The sequence below is a fragment of the Homo sapiens genome, chromosome 16 (genome assembly GCF_000001405.40).
Source record: "Homo sapiens chromosome 16, GRCh38.p14 Primary Assembly".
NCBI classification, from domain to species: domain Eukaryota; kingdom Metazoa; phylum Chordata; class Mammalia; order Primates; family Hominidae; genus Homo; species Homo sapiens.
In genome coordinates this window covers 56257903-56273683 of record NC_000016.10, presented here as the reverse complement: position 1 = coordinate 56273683, position 15781 = coordinate 56257903, and the positions used below count along the sequence as shown (strand labels likewise).

The 15781-nt window shown below is 47.7% G+C and overlaps 1 protein-coding gene across 4 annotated transcripts in view, besides 1 other annotated feature; it reads right to left on the bottom strand.

Moving 5' to 3' along the window:
• GNAO1 (G protein subunit alpha o1) overlaps positions 1-15781 on the bottom strand; it is a 165956-nt gene that overhangs the window by 83761 nt on the left and 66414 nt on the right. The gene's annotated exons all lie outside the window — the stretch shown is intronic.
• Positions 9379-9947: an enhancer, noted in NCBI's record as "H3K4me1 hESC enhancer chr16:56297649-56298217 (GRCh37/hg19 assembly coordinates)". NCBI's record gives its function as "activates a minimal SCP1, AML or CMV promoter by ChIP-STARR-seq in naive H9 embryonic stem cells {active_cell/tissue: H9 hESC(naive)}" and the evidence as "EXISTENCE:reporter gene assay evidence [ECO:0000049][PMID:30033119]".

Genomic DNA, 15781 nt, shown 5'->3' with positions numbered 1-15781 from the left:
CTGATCTACAAGTAACTTAACTACCTGGAGAATAAAGTCCAACAGTCTTTACATGAGAACAACAAAATCTAGACATTCAACAATATAATATTCATAGTATCAGCATCACACAAATAATTCCTGAATATGCAAAGAAGCAGAAAAGCATGACCCATAACTATGATAAAATGCAGTCAACAGAAACAGACCCAGCAGTGACAGAGATCATGGAATTAATAAGAATTTTAAAACATCTATTTTAAATATTTCTAAGAAATTGAAGGGAATTATGAACATAATGAGGAAAGAAATGGAAGACATTAAAAAGAACAAAAGGGAATATCAACTGATGAAAATATAATATCTAAAATAAAAATTTCACTGGATGGGATTAACAGCAGATTAGACATACAGAAGATGAGTGAACTTGAAAACATGGCAATAAAAACTATCTAAATTGAAACAAAGAGAGGGAAGAAGCTGAAAAATGTATTATGTTTATAACATACATAGAAATAAAACTTCAACCATAGCACAAAGGATGGGAGGGATAAAATGAAAGTATACTCTATACTGTAGAAAGATTCTTGTATGTGAAAAAAGTAGTATTAATATAATATTATTTGAAAGTAAAGTGTAATAAGTCAAGATACACATTGTAAACTCTAGCGTAAATACTAAAAAACAGAAAAGAAAGGCAACTGGTACCTAGATTCCCCTAAGAGGGTGGGACCCTTTGGGTGACCTGAGTGGTGCAGGCAGGATTTGCTGGTCCCCATGCTATGATATGCTTCCCCAGAAGCCAGTGCATTGAGTTTCTCATGCTTCATTTGGGACCAGCAGACCCTACCACTCTCCTGGGAATGTTCTCTAGACCTATGGCTGGCTCTGGGACTTCCTTCAACCTATTTCACACCTATTGATATCATTAATCTTTATATGCACTTGATCAGGTGGAAAGGGTGGGATTTTATTATACCCATTTGACAGAAGAGAAAACTGAGGCTGAGAGAGAATAAGTAATTGCCCCAATATCTCTCAGCAGGTAAGAGCCTGGGCCAAGAACAGGATACAGGTCTCCAAGCTCACAGTACTTTCTATCACACTTCAATTCATGGGCTGAAAATACTGCCTGGCAGGTCTCAATCTGTTGCCTGGGGTGTCCCAAGATAAAGAAGCTTCATTTGCAGTTTGCAGAAATGTTGCAATTTGGGGGAAATTGCTCAAATCATGATTAGCCCTATAAGTTGTTCAAACTGGCTTATATTAGGTTAAAAATAGGCTTCCTGTTTCTGGGTAGAATTTTATATCCCCTTCTACTACAATGTAATAAATACTTAAGACTAGAAAATTTGGTCCATACAGAACAACAAGAAATATCCTTTTTTTTTTCAGATGGAGTCTCGCTCTGTCTGTCGCCCAGGCTGGAGTGCAGCGGCGCAATCTCGGCTCACTGCAAGCTCTGCCTCCTTGGTTCATGCCATTCTCCTGCCTCAGCCTCCCAAGTAGCTGGGACTACAGGCGCCCGCCACCATGCCTGGCTAATTTTTTGTATTTTTAGTAGAGACGGGGTTTCACCGACAACAGGAAATATTATTCATACTCCCAAAACTCAGAAGAACACTGAATTTTTAAATGTTAAGTCATCCCTCTGGCTTTTTTAAATGCCACATTCCTCTTCTTTTTTTCTTGCTAGCATTGATTTGAGGCAAATATCCTTAAATGTATCAATAAAGACCCTCTTTATTTTCTATTTCCCCACACCATTTTAGAAAGGCCGAGTAGAGCAGTGGTTAGAGGTTGGGCATTGGACAGGATGAGCTGTGTGTCCCTGGTAAACAATTTAATCTCCTGAGCCTCGGTTTCCTCATAAGCAAAAGAGTTGGGAGGAATAAATGTAAAGTGCCTACCATATAGTAAGTATAAAACAAATGGTAGCTATTAATATTTTCCACCGGACGCAGTGGCTCATGCCTGTAATCCCAGCACTTTCGGAGGCTGAGGCAGGCAGATCACGAGGTCAGGAGTTTGAGACCAGCCTGGCTAACATGGTGAAACCCCGTCTCTACTGAAAAATACAAAAATTAGCCTGGTGTGGTGGCATGCACCTGTAGTCCCAGCTACTTGGGAGGCTGAGGCAGGAGAATCACTGCAACCCAGGAGGAGGACGTGGCAGTGAACCAAGATCACGCCACTGCACTCCAGCCTGGGCGACAGAGCGAGACTCTGTCTCAACCAAAAAAAATAATAGCATTTTCATTCTAAAGTTAAAATCCTGCAAACATAATTTCTTTCATTTGCAGTATAAGATAAGCAGAATAATTGCAGCTCATGTTTGAGGGTTTACCCTCTGTGCTAAGTGCTTTACATGTGTCATTTCATTTAACCTTCAAAACAATTCTAGGAGATAAATTATCTCCTCTTTACAGATGAGGAAACTGAGGCTCAGATAGGTTAGGCCACTTACTCGACATACAGCTGGTAAATGGCAAATGCTGAAAGGCAGGGCTTCTCCTTCTGCCCTGAGTCCCTATATCCAGGAGAATCCAGAGATTTCACCCACAAAACAAGCATTGGAACTCACCCTGTTGTATCTGCCCAATGTTCTGGCAAGGAAAGGAGGCCTCTGGGTTGGAGTTGGAGATACAGCTCTGGAGAGTTCAGTCTCATGTGACAGCCCAGGTCTGAGTTGTGGAGGTGACAAGGCCAGGATTTGGAAATCAGGAGCGAGGCTCCACGAGATACCTTAGCAACAGTCAGTGGCATCTCACATTGCAGCAGCCCCAGGTGGGCTGTTCATCTACATAGCTGAGCGATTGAGTGCAGAATCAAGTCCCAGAAACATCATTTGAGCCCCTGGGTCCAACCATGCCTGAAGCCCACCCCATACTTTTGAGTGATATGAGCCAAATAATTCCCTCTCAATTTTGAATAAGCTAATTTGATTTGGGCTTCTGCCACTTAGAACCAACAGAGACATGACTAAAAGGTACATATTTTGTACCCTGATAACAATAATAATCAGAGATCATCTCCCAGAAGACTTGTTTACTAATTTTTAATTTTTAAAATTAAAGCACCACATCTCACCTATCTCTGCTTTCTTCCCATATCTCCTGGCATAGGGTTGAGCTCCAGACAGTGCTTGGATAAAGTGGGACATAACTACATGAGTCAGGAGTACACAGATGCACCAGACCTGTCCCTCTCCAGAGCACTCACTAAAGGAGGCAGACGTGTGTGTCCCTGTGTGTGTTATGTGTGTGTGTGTGTGTGTGTGTGTGTCAGGGTGGGGACCTACTAGATTTCTTATGACTGCAAAGCCAGGGTATCAAAGGGAGATCAAGCTAGATTCTGAATTCATGTCCACCCAAAACTCAGGGACGCTCAGGGGTGTTCCAGGCCACCAAACCAGAAGCACCATAAGGAACAGGAGGTCTGAACAACCAAGGACTGACTGTGGAGTGTTTGACTTTGGACAGAAACCGCCAGCTGGACTCTGGAAACCTGGCAACGCTGCTGAGAGGAGATCTCACGTGGGTATGGGGAGAGACAGAGGGTGGCAACCAAGCCCGCCTGCACAGGTCTGAGCTTTCTGGGAAGAGGCAACCAAGGAGAAACCCTGGTTCTCCCCGCACCTCCATTTCTCTCTCTGCTGCCTTAGGGACCCTGCAGGAGGCCTGGACTTGGGCTCCCTTTGCTCTCTGCTTCCCCCTTGCAGTGTAGGACTGCACTTAGCTGCAGTGAGACTCCCCAGGCATGCTGGCCTTATATGGTCACAGAACCACAGGCTTGGGAGCTGGAAGGGACCTTGGAGGCTCATCTGGCCCAGCAGCCATTCTCCTTCTCTGAATCATAGACTCCTCTGACAGTGTGACAATGTACCAACACATACAGTTTCCCCCCCAACTTCTGGAGGGTCACAAACTCAGAGGCCCTAGGCTGTTGGGATACATGGTTTTTCACTACATCTCCAGCTAGATTAAATGCCCCTCGTCTGCTCCCTTTATCAGCGCCCTGGCTCCTGCCCTGGGACTGGACTGCCGCTCCTCCTCCATCACAATCCCTTTAATGATCCACAGGAAGCGGGGGCTTCTAGAGCCAGACTCTAGCTGAGACCGGGTGCTTGTTTCCGCATCTGTTCCTGGGAGATGGGCGTGGTAACAGAGCTGGTTCATGGTTAGGATCAAAAGAATGAATCCATGTAGAGTGCCCAGCACAGTCGGCAGTCAATCAGTGCTAGCTATTATTATTGTTGCCATACTTGGTACGAGGGACGGGGGAGAACGTGCAGTCAGTCAGGCGTCCCGCGTCTGTCCTCTTGAGGAAGAGGATGTGAACTGGGTCCACGGGGAGGGAAGGCTGGGAGGACCACTGCTTGTCAGGAGGAGGAGGAGGAGGAGGAGCAGCAACAACAGCAGCAAGGGTTAACAAGCCACAGTGGAGAAAAGAAGAGCGGCAGAGGGGGTTTCTCCGGACCAAAGCAGAGAATCTGCTCATTTACCATTTACCAAATGAACACGTTGGGAGTGGTTGTGGGATGAGAAGGTGGATTTCCTGATTTGAGGCTGTCTTAACGTGTCATGAAATATGTTTCTGAACACTGACGGAGAGCTGTGCTGTGGCTGCCTGGGTTAGGGTCAGGGCCCAGTGCTTCACTCCCATGCACAGCACCAATGGTTTCCAGCCGTCAGGGAGATCTCGGCAGTAATGGGACGTGGCCCCTGAAGCCATCTGCCTCCCCAGTGGAGGTAGGGACAGACCTGCCTGGCCTCATATGACACATTTTTAATCAAACAACTGTCAGATGTCAGTGAGGGAAGAAGCCACATGCCAGGAATTGGGGGCTCCACAGAACCTACGAGACCAGGATCTGGACAGGACGGTAAAGTGAAAATGCTGGTTACAGTGTGTGTCCTGTGCAGCTGTTTTCATAAAACTGTTTGTGGGTGGGGGCAGGAGGTAGGGTGTGGTATGGAGGGAGAAGGAGGGAGAGGGAGTTATTATGTGAGGATGTGTAACAAGATGTATTAATAATCACTTTTGGGTGGTGGCATTCAGTGATTTTTTTAAACTTTCTTCTTTGTATGTTTTGTTTCATGTTTAAAAATGTATACTTGTTATCTGGAAGAACAACAAGTCATTTCCAATGGGAGACAGACACTTCGTGTTTAACCTACTAGGGACCATTTTGACCTAGAGAGAATACTTGAGTAAAAGGGGTAGAGTCATTGATCAATACGAATCTCCTGGAGTGACACATTTGGGTTCAGCCTGCTGGAAGGTCTCTTCCGACTTAAAGCCTATGAGGCCTGGTCCCTCCCTTCCAGAGCTTCTCAATCTAGATGGTAAGATAAGGCTAGTGCCAAGAAATGAAAATTAACAACAAAAAAGTGGCATCTGCCAAGGGCCAGTTGAAGGATGTGCTGGCTGCCACCTGAAAGCCACTCCCTTCTCATGAAGAGTTCCTTTCCCTGCCTCCTTTGCCACGAAGACTGGCCAAATAAATGGTTCTGCTTAGAGCCCACACAGAAATAGTCATTTTCCAGATGGAAAACTGTGATATGGAGAGGAAGAGATGTGCCTACAGGCACATTTAGTTTGTGGCAGAGCAGGGACAAAACCCCCAGAGGCCTTTCCATTGTGCTACAGGCGTCTTACCTCCCTTGATGCTCCCCTGGGAGAGGGGAGGTGATGGGTGACACCAGGTGAGAAAAACATCTAATCAAATGCAAAATGGAAAGATGTTTTTACCTTCTGTCTTAAAAGATCCAGCTCCCAATAATTTAGAGGTGTTCCTGTAGGGGTGGGGGGCAGGGGTATATTCTGTAAGCATCTCTATTCATTGATTCCCTAATTCATTTTTCATATATTATTTGCATACCTACTAGGTGCCAGCCACCATATCATGGGCTGGGATAAAAGCGACAGACACAATCCCTGCCCTTGTGGAGCTTGCATTCTAATAGGGAAGAACAATATGAAAGAAGTAATGTCACAAATGGTTCTATAAATCATAATGGGAATAAGGGGAAAATACGACCTGAAGGAGCACCTACAGTACAGGTGCATGGTGGAGGGTGGGACCGGCCTCTCAGGAAACAGCAGTGACCACGGAGCAGGTGCTGGCTGGACAGACAAGGTAGGACAATCCAGACAAGAGAACAGCACCGGTGCCTGGAGACAACGCTGTGTGGTCCCTTCGCACCTCCCAGAGCCCCCCTTGTCCCACAGAGTGCTCGGGAAATGTGTGTGAAATGCATGAAGGCAGCTCACGTGCTGGCCGGTGGGACCGGAAGCCAGAGACCCCAGTCAGCAGGCTTCCCTGGAGCTGGCACTGGCACGGGTCTGCCGTTCCCTCCTGAGGGAGGCTTCCATTGACTCAAGGAGAAGGCATGAACAGCAAGCTGACTCAATGGGGGAAATGTCACCAACACCGCCTGGTTGAGAGGCACTGGCAGGCACTGGCAGCATACCTACTTGGAGGTGGGCTCAGCAGAGGGCAGGCACCCCAGGGGAACGGGGAGAGAGAGCCCCGCCTGGACCCTCCTCCCTCTTCTTCTACCTGTTGGAGCTCCCACTAACTCTGCTCTTGTATTTCCTTTCCCTGGAATGTGGTCTTGTGGCCAGTGGTGCTGGATCTGCAGGAGGGACCTGGCTTCCTGACTCAGGGGATACCATCAAGACTGAGGACTAAGCAGAGTGGTCTGCAGTGGTCCAGAGGGCACACGATGTGGACACGGTGGCGGCTGGGGACTGGGAGGGCTTTCTAGGAACTGCAGCAGCCCAAATCCCCTAGAGAACACCACTCTTTCCTTTGTTTATTCATTCCCTCCATGAATATATATATACTGAGCACGTGTTAAGAGTGGGGCACACCCTGAGTCTCCTATTCACTGACAGTTGGACTGTGGGCAAGTTCTCAACCTCCCTGAGTCTAGGTCTCTCCCCTGTAAAATGGGGACAATGATCTTGTCCTTCACAGGGTCACTGGCAGTATTAATGTGTGGGGAGGGTCTGGCACTCAGTAGGGCCCAATAAATGTCAGCTGCTAATATTATTTAAAAGTCTCAGGCAATTCAGTGCCAAAGCAGGGCTAGACCACTAGTCTTGTTTCCCAAGCCACGGGCCCTCCTTCCATCTGGTGCAGCAGTGCCTTGACTCAACTGAATGTGGTGCTGGGGGGCCAGACAGTATCCATGTTTTGAATGACTGGCTCAGAGGGACCACTGGTTGGGCAGAAGTAAGATGTGTATGTTTTGCAAAGCAATTATTCTGGGTCTTAATTTCTGATTTCCCAGAATTCCAAGAGTGTAGAGGCCCCTGATGGGAAGTCAGAAGCTTTGCTCTTTACCAGGCATAAAGGCTGCTTCCTTGACTGGCAGAGCTCAGCCATCCCTGAGATTATGGCCTCCTTCAATCCCCCCACTGACGGCATCCTCCTCTTCTCATCTAACAGAACTGACTGCTATGTACCAGGTGCAGTTCACACAGCACCCAGGAGACTGGCGAACAGGACAGACAGAGGCCCTGCCTTCAAAGGACTCACAGCTCAATAGGGGAAAGCATAAAGAAGTAAACAAATATTACAGAGTAATAAACACAAAACTAGTAGTTAGTGGGGAAGGGTAGAGTTAAGAGCCATGAGGTGGCATGAAGCTGAGGCCTCAGTGATAAGAAGTGGGCCTTGCATATTGGTGAGGAAGAACGCAACAGGCAGAGGGAGCAGCAAGAGCAAAGGCCCCGGGGCACCTTTAGTGTTCTAATGATGAGGAACCAGCAGGGCTTGAACCTAGTGAGTGATAGGGAAAGTGGGGGATGAGGCCAGAGGAGCAGCAGGGACCAGTACTATGGCTAATGTACTACTCAAAATTTTTTCTCAGCTACACATTAAAACAAATGCTCACCTGTTAAAAAAAAACACATTCGTCCCCAAACCATCTTGCCTCCCACCAGTGGTTCTGCTCTAATTGTGGATCACTTTTAAATGGCAGCTTTCCCTCCTCTTTCCCTGACTTCTCCAGCCCTGACTGAAAGGCCTGTTCTTGGAACACTTATAGATTATAGCCCACACAGCTAAGCAAAAAAGAAGAAAAAAATTTCAGCCATCAACCCACCAGCTGGAGGGAACCACCGTCCACATGTTGGGGTATATTTCAGTCCTTTTACCTGGGAGTCCGCACGAGTATTATTTTCCCTAAAATGGAATCCCACTGTACATGTTGTTTTCTACACTGAACTGTATATTCATTTTAACAGCTGTTTATGAAGTGCTTTCTTCATTCCAGGCACTGGATACAGGGCAGTGAGCCCGACCTGCATGGCCAGGCCTGCCTTCTGGAGCTGCTGTCTAGCCCAGGAGCTGTGGACATGCATAAGAGGGGCACCAGGCTCCATCCAGCATGGCCAGAGATGACTTCAGGAAGAAGTCATTGATGTGGCTCCATGTGACCCTGGGGTTCTATTAGCTGCTTAGTCTCATCATCTGAATGGGCCATGAGCTATTCAACCAAACCCCTCACGGTGGACATTTGGGCTGCTCACGAATGAGAGCTCTTTCCAGCTTCAGATTCAGCTGCTCGGGCTGGGGGGCTTGTCTGACCACGAGGGTGCTTCTCCCAAGGGAGGCAGAAAACCACAAAACCTAGATGGGACAAGATAGAGGCTGGGTGACACCTAGGCCTTACAAAGTGAGGATGAATAACTTGGGCACAAATGGATCCCTTGGCTATTTGGAAAGAAGAGAAGACTCAGCTAAAAATCCAGCTGTTTAATTGTGGGGTGAAGCTGTATGGTATGCGAACATTTATTTAAAAAATAATTATGACCACTTTAGTAATTATTAATTATTAATTAATACTATATAATTAGTATACTATACTATATACTATATTAATACTATATACTATACGATAAAAATATATTAATTAGTAATAATACTATATTAAAATACTATATTTAATACTATATTTTTAATACTATATTAAAACTTGATATTCTAATATCAGAATAATATAGAATAAAAGGGTATTCTAAAGAGTTCTAAAATAATAGTAACAGGCAAAATCAGTCCCCCAGAGGAATGATTGGTACAAAACAAGAAGGATGTCCTGTTGACAATGACTTGCAGAAATCTATTATAAAGATGCCATTTTTAATAAGGGGTAGCTCTGGCCAGAAGCAAAGATGTCAGCTGCCAATTGTCACCAGACAGAGCCAGGGGCAAGGCCAGGACTTGTGATTCCAGTGCAGAGCCTCTGCTGTCATTATCTGAAAAACAACATGAACCCTGCCCTTTCCCTCAGCTCACAGTGCTGGGGTGGGTGGAGGTGGGGGCTGCACAGGCCAGCTGTCAGTCCACGGCAGCGGCAGCGTAATGCTCAGAGAACTGCCTGCTAGAGCTCTGTTCCTTCTCGCCTTCTGGGTAGCATTGCTGGTCTGGGGCCCCTGGCCCTAGATTACAGATATCGTGACTTGAACTTTGGAGATATAAGACTCAGATTCTTATGCAGATTGGCCATCAACACTGCAACCCCAGGTGATGAGGGCAGAAGAATCCTTCTCAGGCCTGCATCATCGGCCCTGGCCTGGGGCTCCCCCTTGGTGGTGGAGGAAGTCCTTCAAGGCAGCTCTGTCGGCCTCCTCTTGGGAAGACCTCAGGCCTCCTGACCCACCCTCAGATTCCAGCCACTGCCTTTTTCATGCCTGTGTGTTTGGGAAATACTGCCACTGACTGTGGCAGCTTCCACCCCAATTTCATCACTCAGGAGACCCGGGGTCTAAGTCTTAGCTCTGCTGCTGACCAGCTGGCATAAGCTTGGACAAGCCACTGGGACTCTGGACTCATTTTCTATGTATATTGCCCAGCCTCTTGGACAGGTCAGGTGTTGGCTTTGGGGCTGGGTTGCATCAACTTCCTGTGGTTGCCCCGTTTCTCAGGTTGACCAAGGGTCACGGTCATATCTATGTCTATGTCTACGTCTACATCTTTGCCAAATGCATCCTTTCTGGGATACACCAGCTCACAAAACATAGTGACTCATGGGGGGCAAATAATCAAAGGGGTTCTTGTTGGACAAAAGATTGAGGAGCTCTGAAATAGAGACCTGCATACCTCATTGCATTCAGGGCTCTGCTCGGATGTCACCTCCTCAGACCAGTCTGACTACGGCCCCTTCCCTACATTATTCTGTGCCTTTATTCTTCCTTATTTTCCTTCATCACATGTATCACCACCTGGTATGTATATTTTTATTTGTATACCATCTGTTTCCCCACATATCGACGTGAGCTCCATGAGGACTGAGTTCACAGACTGTAGTGCCCAGGGCAGAGCTTGGTACATGGCGAATGATCAATCAATGCTGGATGAATGGCTGAATGAAACAGGTGATTGCTTGGGACCTCTGGCTCTAAAATGAGGGCTCCACATATAACTCCTTTCTGTGAAGGTGGGTAGCCTGTAAACAGTGGCCCCAGATGGACATATCTCTCTCCACCATCCCCCACTCATAGCCCTGGCTGCCAATCCCATCTCCACCTTGCGGACTGAATAGTCTTCCCCCTTGGGCCCGGAGTCTGTGGCCCTTTCCTTGTGATTGTAACTAGACTCGCTCCCTCATTCACTGGCATGGGTTCCCCTCCTTCAACCCTGATGTCTTGGTTCTCACAGGTTTCTAAGGGTCAGGACACACAGCTGCCTTATGCTGTCCTCTGTAGGCTTATTTCCAGGAAAATCCAAAACTGTTCTTTGAAACCCAACGGTTAAATTCACTGGTTATGTTGCAGAGACATGACAGAGAGCTTTATGGCTGCTGAGTCCTCCTCACAATGCCTTATGTGCAGACATGAGCTTTTGTTAAACACAGTAAAAGCGGCACGAGTGAGGCAAATTGGTTCAATGTCAATTTTACTGCCTAGATCTAAGTAACATTTCTGGTCTCCCATCTGCCTGATAAGGGCAGCTGCTAGATCTCCCTTTCGTATTCTGCTGACATAATGAAGTGAGGTATTCCTATTAGTACATTATGTTTAGTATATAAACAATACTGTACATTGGGAGCAGTCTGCATAGCTTTTTAATTATATTTTGTGGAGAATGCGCAAGTACGGCTGCAGAGCTTTGCTCATCTTGTTCAGTCTTTGGGGAAAAAAAAAAACTTCCTGCCTTCCTGTTGACGGTATGTTTGTTCATTATTTATGTTCCTGCTCATTAGCGCCTAGATGTGTTCTCATGAACCACAGGAAAGAGAAAAGACCACAAAAGCTGCTGTCTTTGGCTGACAGCTCACAGACAAGGCTTTTACAAACCCAGGTTACCTAAGACATTGTCCTTTCTGACACCAGGCAAGTCCAAAAGGCTCTGTCATCCAAACAGACCAGGTGGGGCTCTGACAGCCTGTGGGAGGGCTCCTATCTGGGTTCCTCCTGGCTCCCTTGCGACTTGCTGTGGGGCGCGGTGGTGACTCACTGCAGAATATACCTGAGGGAGCCTGAGCTCTGCAAATGGCAAATGAGGGCTGTAGTGGACATCTGCTGGCTGCCTGTGCAACTCCTCCCTTCCTTGAGAGATAGGAGCTCAACTTTCCTTGGGGGAACCATCCTTTCTCACACTTTGAGGATTCTCCCCACTTCTAGCCTAAGTCCCAGGGCTGAGTGAGTTCCTGATCCACACCTGTCAGTTAGTATCACACACATGTGGATCCAGCCATGCCTGAAGCTAGTGTACCCCTAGGCTAGTCAGTGACATGAGACAACACGTTTCAGTCACTCTAGGGCAGGTTTCTGTTCTTAGCAGTCAGGAGTCTTGACGGCATTGAAGCTGCATAGCCCTTGGACGTTTGTTTGGAAAGATGGCAGCAGGGCATCGGACGGTCACACAGACTTGCTGATCTGAAAGGGGGTGCCTGGTTACTGAACAGGTTCTGAGGGCTCTGAGGGTTACACCACCATAGGACAGCAGCTGCCCCCATCCCATTTTGCAGCGGCTGAGCCAAGCAAGCCATACTGGAGGTCATTTTCTCTTTTGGGCATTTCGGGGATCAGCTGATCCCAAAGGACTGTCCACTCCTCCCCCGACTCCACCTAACCCCAAAACATGAGGAATTTCACTCCCTTGTGTCTCTTCTACATTACAGACCTAGCCAGCCTGGAAAATGCTTTTCATAGGCTCTTGATTTTTCCCTTCCTGTTCTTTTTAAATGAAGACTTGTTTTTCTTCTCCTTGCCATGTGATTGGGCAGAGAAGGACACCAATACACCACCAGCAACCTGAAGAGACAAAGGGGCATGGACAGAATCCCTCATTCTCCAGTGCAGGCTGCTTGGCACACGTGCCTTTGAGATTTGCCACAGAGCCTCCTAAGCGTTGCCCCAGATGGTGGACCATTTTAGGTGAGTGTTCTGAAACAGACAAAAGACGCCCTTCTCAGCTCCCTGCCTAGGAGAGTTCAAGGCAAAAGGTACAGATCACCCCAAATGGGGGCTCCTCAGGGAAATCATGATTTCTCATGTCCTCTGAGAGGACTGCTTATGGTAAAGTCTGCCAAAAGCAAGTCTGAATGCACATTCCTCTCCAGGGTAACTCATGTCTCCTCAAATGAAACGGCAGTGGTCAGTTGCCACGCCAACTTTTGCTGGACAAAGATGGCTATGTCTGCATTGGGTCAGGTCCCCAAACATCTCTGACTACATGGACGTGAGCCACATCCTTCTGGTTCCCTCTGCGCCACCCCTTTGTTGGGCCTTTGAACAAGAGTAGGGGAGAATTCCAGGTGACAGCATGTCTTGCCAGAGAAATACATTCACAGAGAGACACAGCAAAACCCAGCCCAGCCAGTCTTCCTTTTCTGGTGGTAGACGTGGCCCAGAAAGGATGCCACTCTCTGTGTGGTGGATTTAAATAGCCCCGCCGCGGCTCCCAGGCTTCCCACTCCAGGCCTTCTCAAGCATATGGAAGTTCCTCATTAATAACCATGATAGCGGGTCATGCCCCCAAAAAAAGAGTCCACAAAGATCACTTTGTGGGCTTCCACATCGATCCCCTCTCTAGGGATGTTTGGGTGGGGCAGTGTGTTCTGGATGCCAAAGCCAAAGCACATACTTGGCTGTAGGGGTGGCAGACCCTGTGGAGAGCCCAGCTGTTCCCTCTCAGAGTCGGGCTCAGTAGAGGCTCTGCTGCAGTCTGAGAGGCCAGCAGGAGGGCAGGTATGCTCAGCCTTCATCATGGTCTCTGGGTCTCTCTGAGACAAAGGCCTGCTTCTGGCCCAGCAGCCGGCAGCTGAGGAATTTTCAGTGTGAATCAAGCCTAAAATTGGTGCACGTTGAAGACAAGCAGGCTAAGGAGAACAGGCCCCTCAAGCTGCCATCCTGAGACTCTGTCCACTCTCTCAGACTCTCATCTGGATTTCAGGTAGAGACAAAAAGAAAAAAGGCCCACAGCCCACACTGCCCATTGTCACTTAGCCACGCCACAGTAGCGAGAGCTGGGCCTGGGAGAACAGAGTAGCGGCAGCCTCTGTTGAATCCCTTCAGGTGCAGGCACTGTGCTAAGGGCTTCATGGACACTGCCACACTGAATCCTCCCAATAACCCCTGCCTCCTGACATCAGCTGTAGTCAAAGCTATGCAAGTGTTAGTGCTAGCTCCACTTTGAAGATGAAGAAACTGGTTAATAAGAAAGTTAATGAGCTTTCCCAAGGTTATGTGGCTATCAAACATGGGTGTTCTCAAGAGCTCTCCACTTTATGGACAGCCCTCAGACTAAATATCCAAGGAATACTGATGACTTCAGGCACATTCAGAGGAAGCAGACCAGGCTGGTGAGAGTCAAGACTTCTGACCAACTGTGAAAAAGGGTAAAGGCATTAAACAATGTCCACATTAAGAAGGGGTCCCAACAATCAGAAGATTTCTGTTGTCACACTGGCCCTGAGTCATAAACTCTTACCCCTCTTTAAAGGCCTTTCCAGTTTTCTAGCTTAATCCTTACCACATGAACCCCCGCCCTGCCCCTTCTGCAGACCACTCCCAGCACTGTCTGCTCAGCCCTGGCCAGTGCCAGACGCATGGCTACTGAAGGAATGAACAATGGATGCATGGATGAAGACTGTCTAGGGAGAGCTCTGACACTGTCGGGATCACCATCACAGTCACATCTGCTTATTATCACCACGGCCAGCAATGCTGAGACAACTGTCCCAAGACACTTCTGTATCCACTGAGCTTCAAGCTCCAACATGCATGTGGGTCAGGCTGGTATGGAACAGGGCAGTTGGAAACCAGGAAGGATGGTGAGAAGGGGTAGAATACACATAATTTCCAGCATTAGATGTGGCACAAATAGGGCTCCCAAGAATGGAATTCAGTTCAGTAAACATTTACCCAACACCTCCTGAGTGCAAGGCCTGGCATTTGCCTCTTTGACTGGTGCAGATCACGTTCCCTGACAAGGAGGCGGCATTCACACAGCATGTGAGGCTGAAGATGCATTTGGTCCTATTTCAAGTGTGTTGCTCTCATTCCTGAGGGGCTTCCTAAAGTGGTGCTATCCACACCCTCTGAAACAAGGCTTTCTTCCTGCACTGGCTCCTGCATGTCCCCAGCTCCAACATGGACTTGCTGACGCCCACTGATCACAAAATGTCCCTAAGGCTCTTCAGCTGGTCATGTAAGAATGTATACGCCATCTAAAGCCACGCGTATGTGTGCCTGGCAGCACTTTCCATAAAGAACAAAGGGCTGTGCACAGGAGTGGCCTTGACTGGGACATCTGTGTCAAAATGAGAAGCAATAACAATGGGGCTCTTGAGGTCAGAAATGCACAGGGCTTCCCTGTCTAACTTCAGACTGAAAGTTCTCCTGCCTACTCCCACCCAAGAGCTATTGCCTGCCCCAATCCCCTGTCTCTCCCAGAGGAGCTGCAGGAAACTCTCCCCTGCCTTCTCAGCACCTTTCAATCTTGGGAAGCGCTCTGTAACAGGCAGGGGCTGCCCAGAGGCTGCAAGTCTGTCCAGACCGATTTGTGGGAGAACAGCTAGGCCTGCTTCTGACACCACCCCACAGGGAAGCTGCTGGGGAACAGGGCTCTTCCTGAATGGCAAGTTCCAGGACTCTAGGAATATATCCACCATCATCAGGCCCTGTTGCCCCTCACTATGACAGAACCATGGGCAAGGGGTTTTCTGCTCTGGGTGGTGTGCCACTACCCATAACTGTCAAATGCCCAACACTCCCTTTCAGGTTTTCCAAACATTTCACGTGTTACTGAACAGTAACAACAGTTCCTCTTGACAAAACACCAACTTTGTGCTGGACATTTTTATATATTTTCTCATGAAGTCCTCATGATAGGAATGAATAACCCAGTTATCCTCATTTTACAAATAAGGAGACTGAGGCTTAGGGAGGTTAACTGACTACTTGGCCACCATCTCAGAGCCAGTAAGCAGCAGAGCTGGGAGCTAAAACAGAACCCCACTCATAATCTCCACCTCAGCAAGCCTGGTAGTGGCTCTGTTTCACAGTAATGGTGGGAAGTATAAGAATCAGAGTGATTGGCTGGCCTGCAGTCACGTAGCAGAGGTCTCAAACTGGCCATCTGCAGCCTGGATTTGGGCCAGGGAGATGTATTTTGTTTGGCCTGCAGTAGTTTTGAGTTTTTCTTTTCTTTTTATTTTTTTCCTTTAAGCAAACATTTATAAATCAGAAGAATTGTCACAAAAGGACACTGATTTCTGGTTCTCCTGAAGAATCGGACATGCTGGTCTGCCTCCTTAGGTGAGGCCTGAGTTTGGCTGCCTGC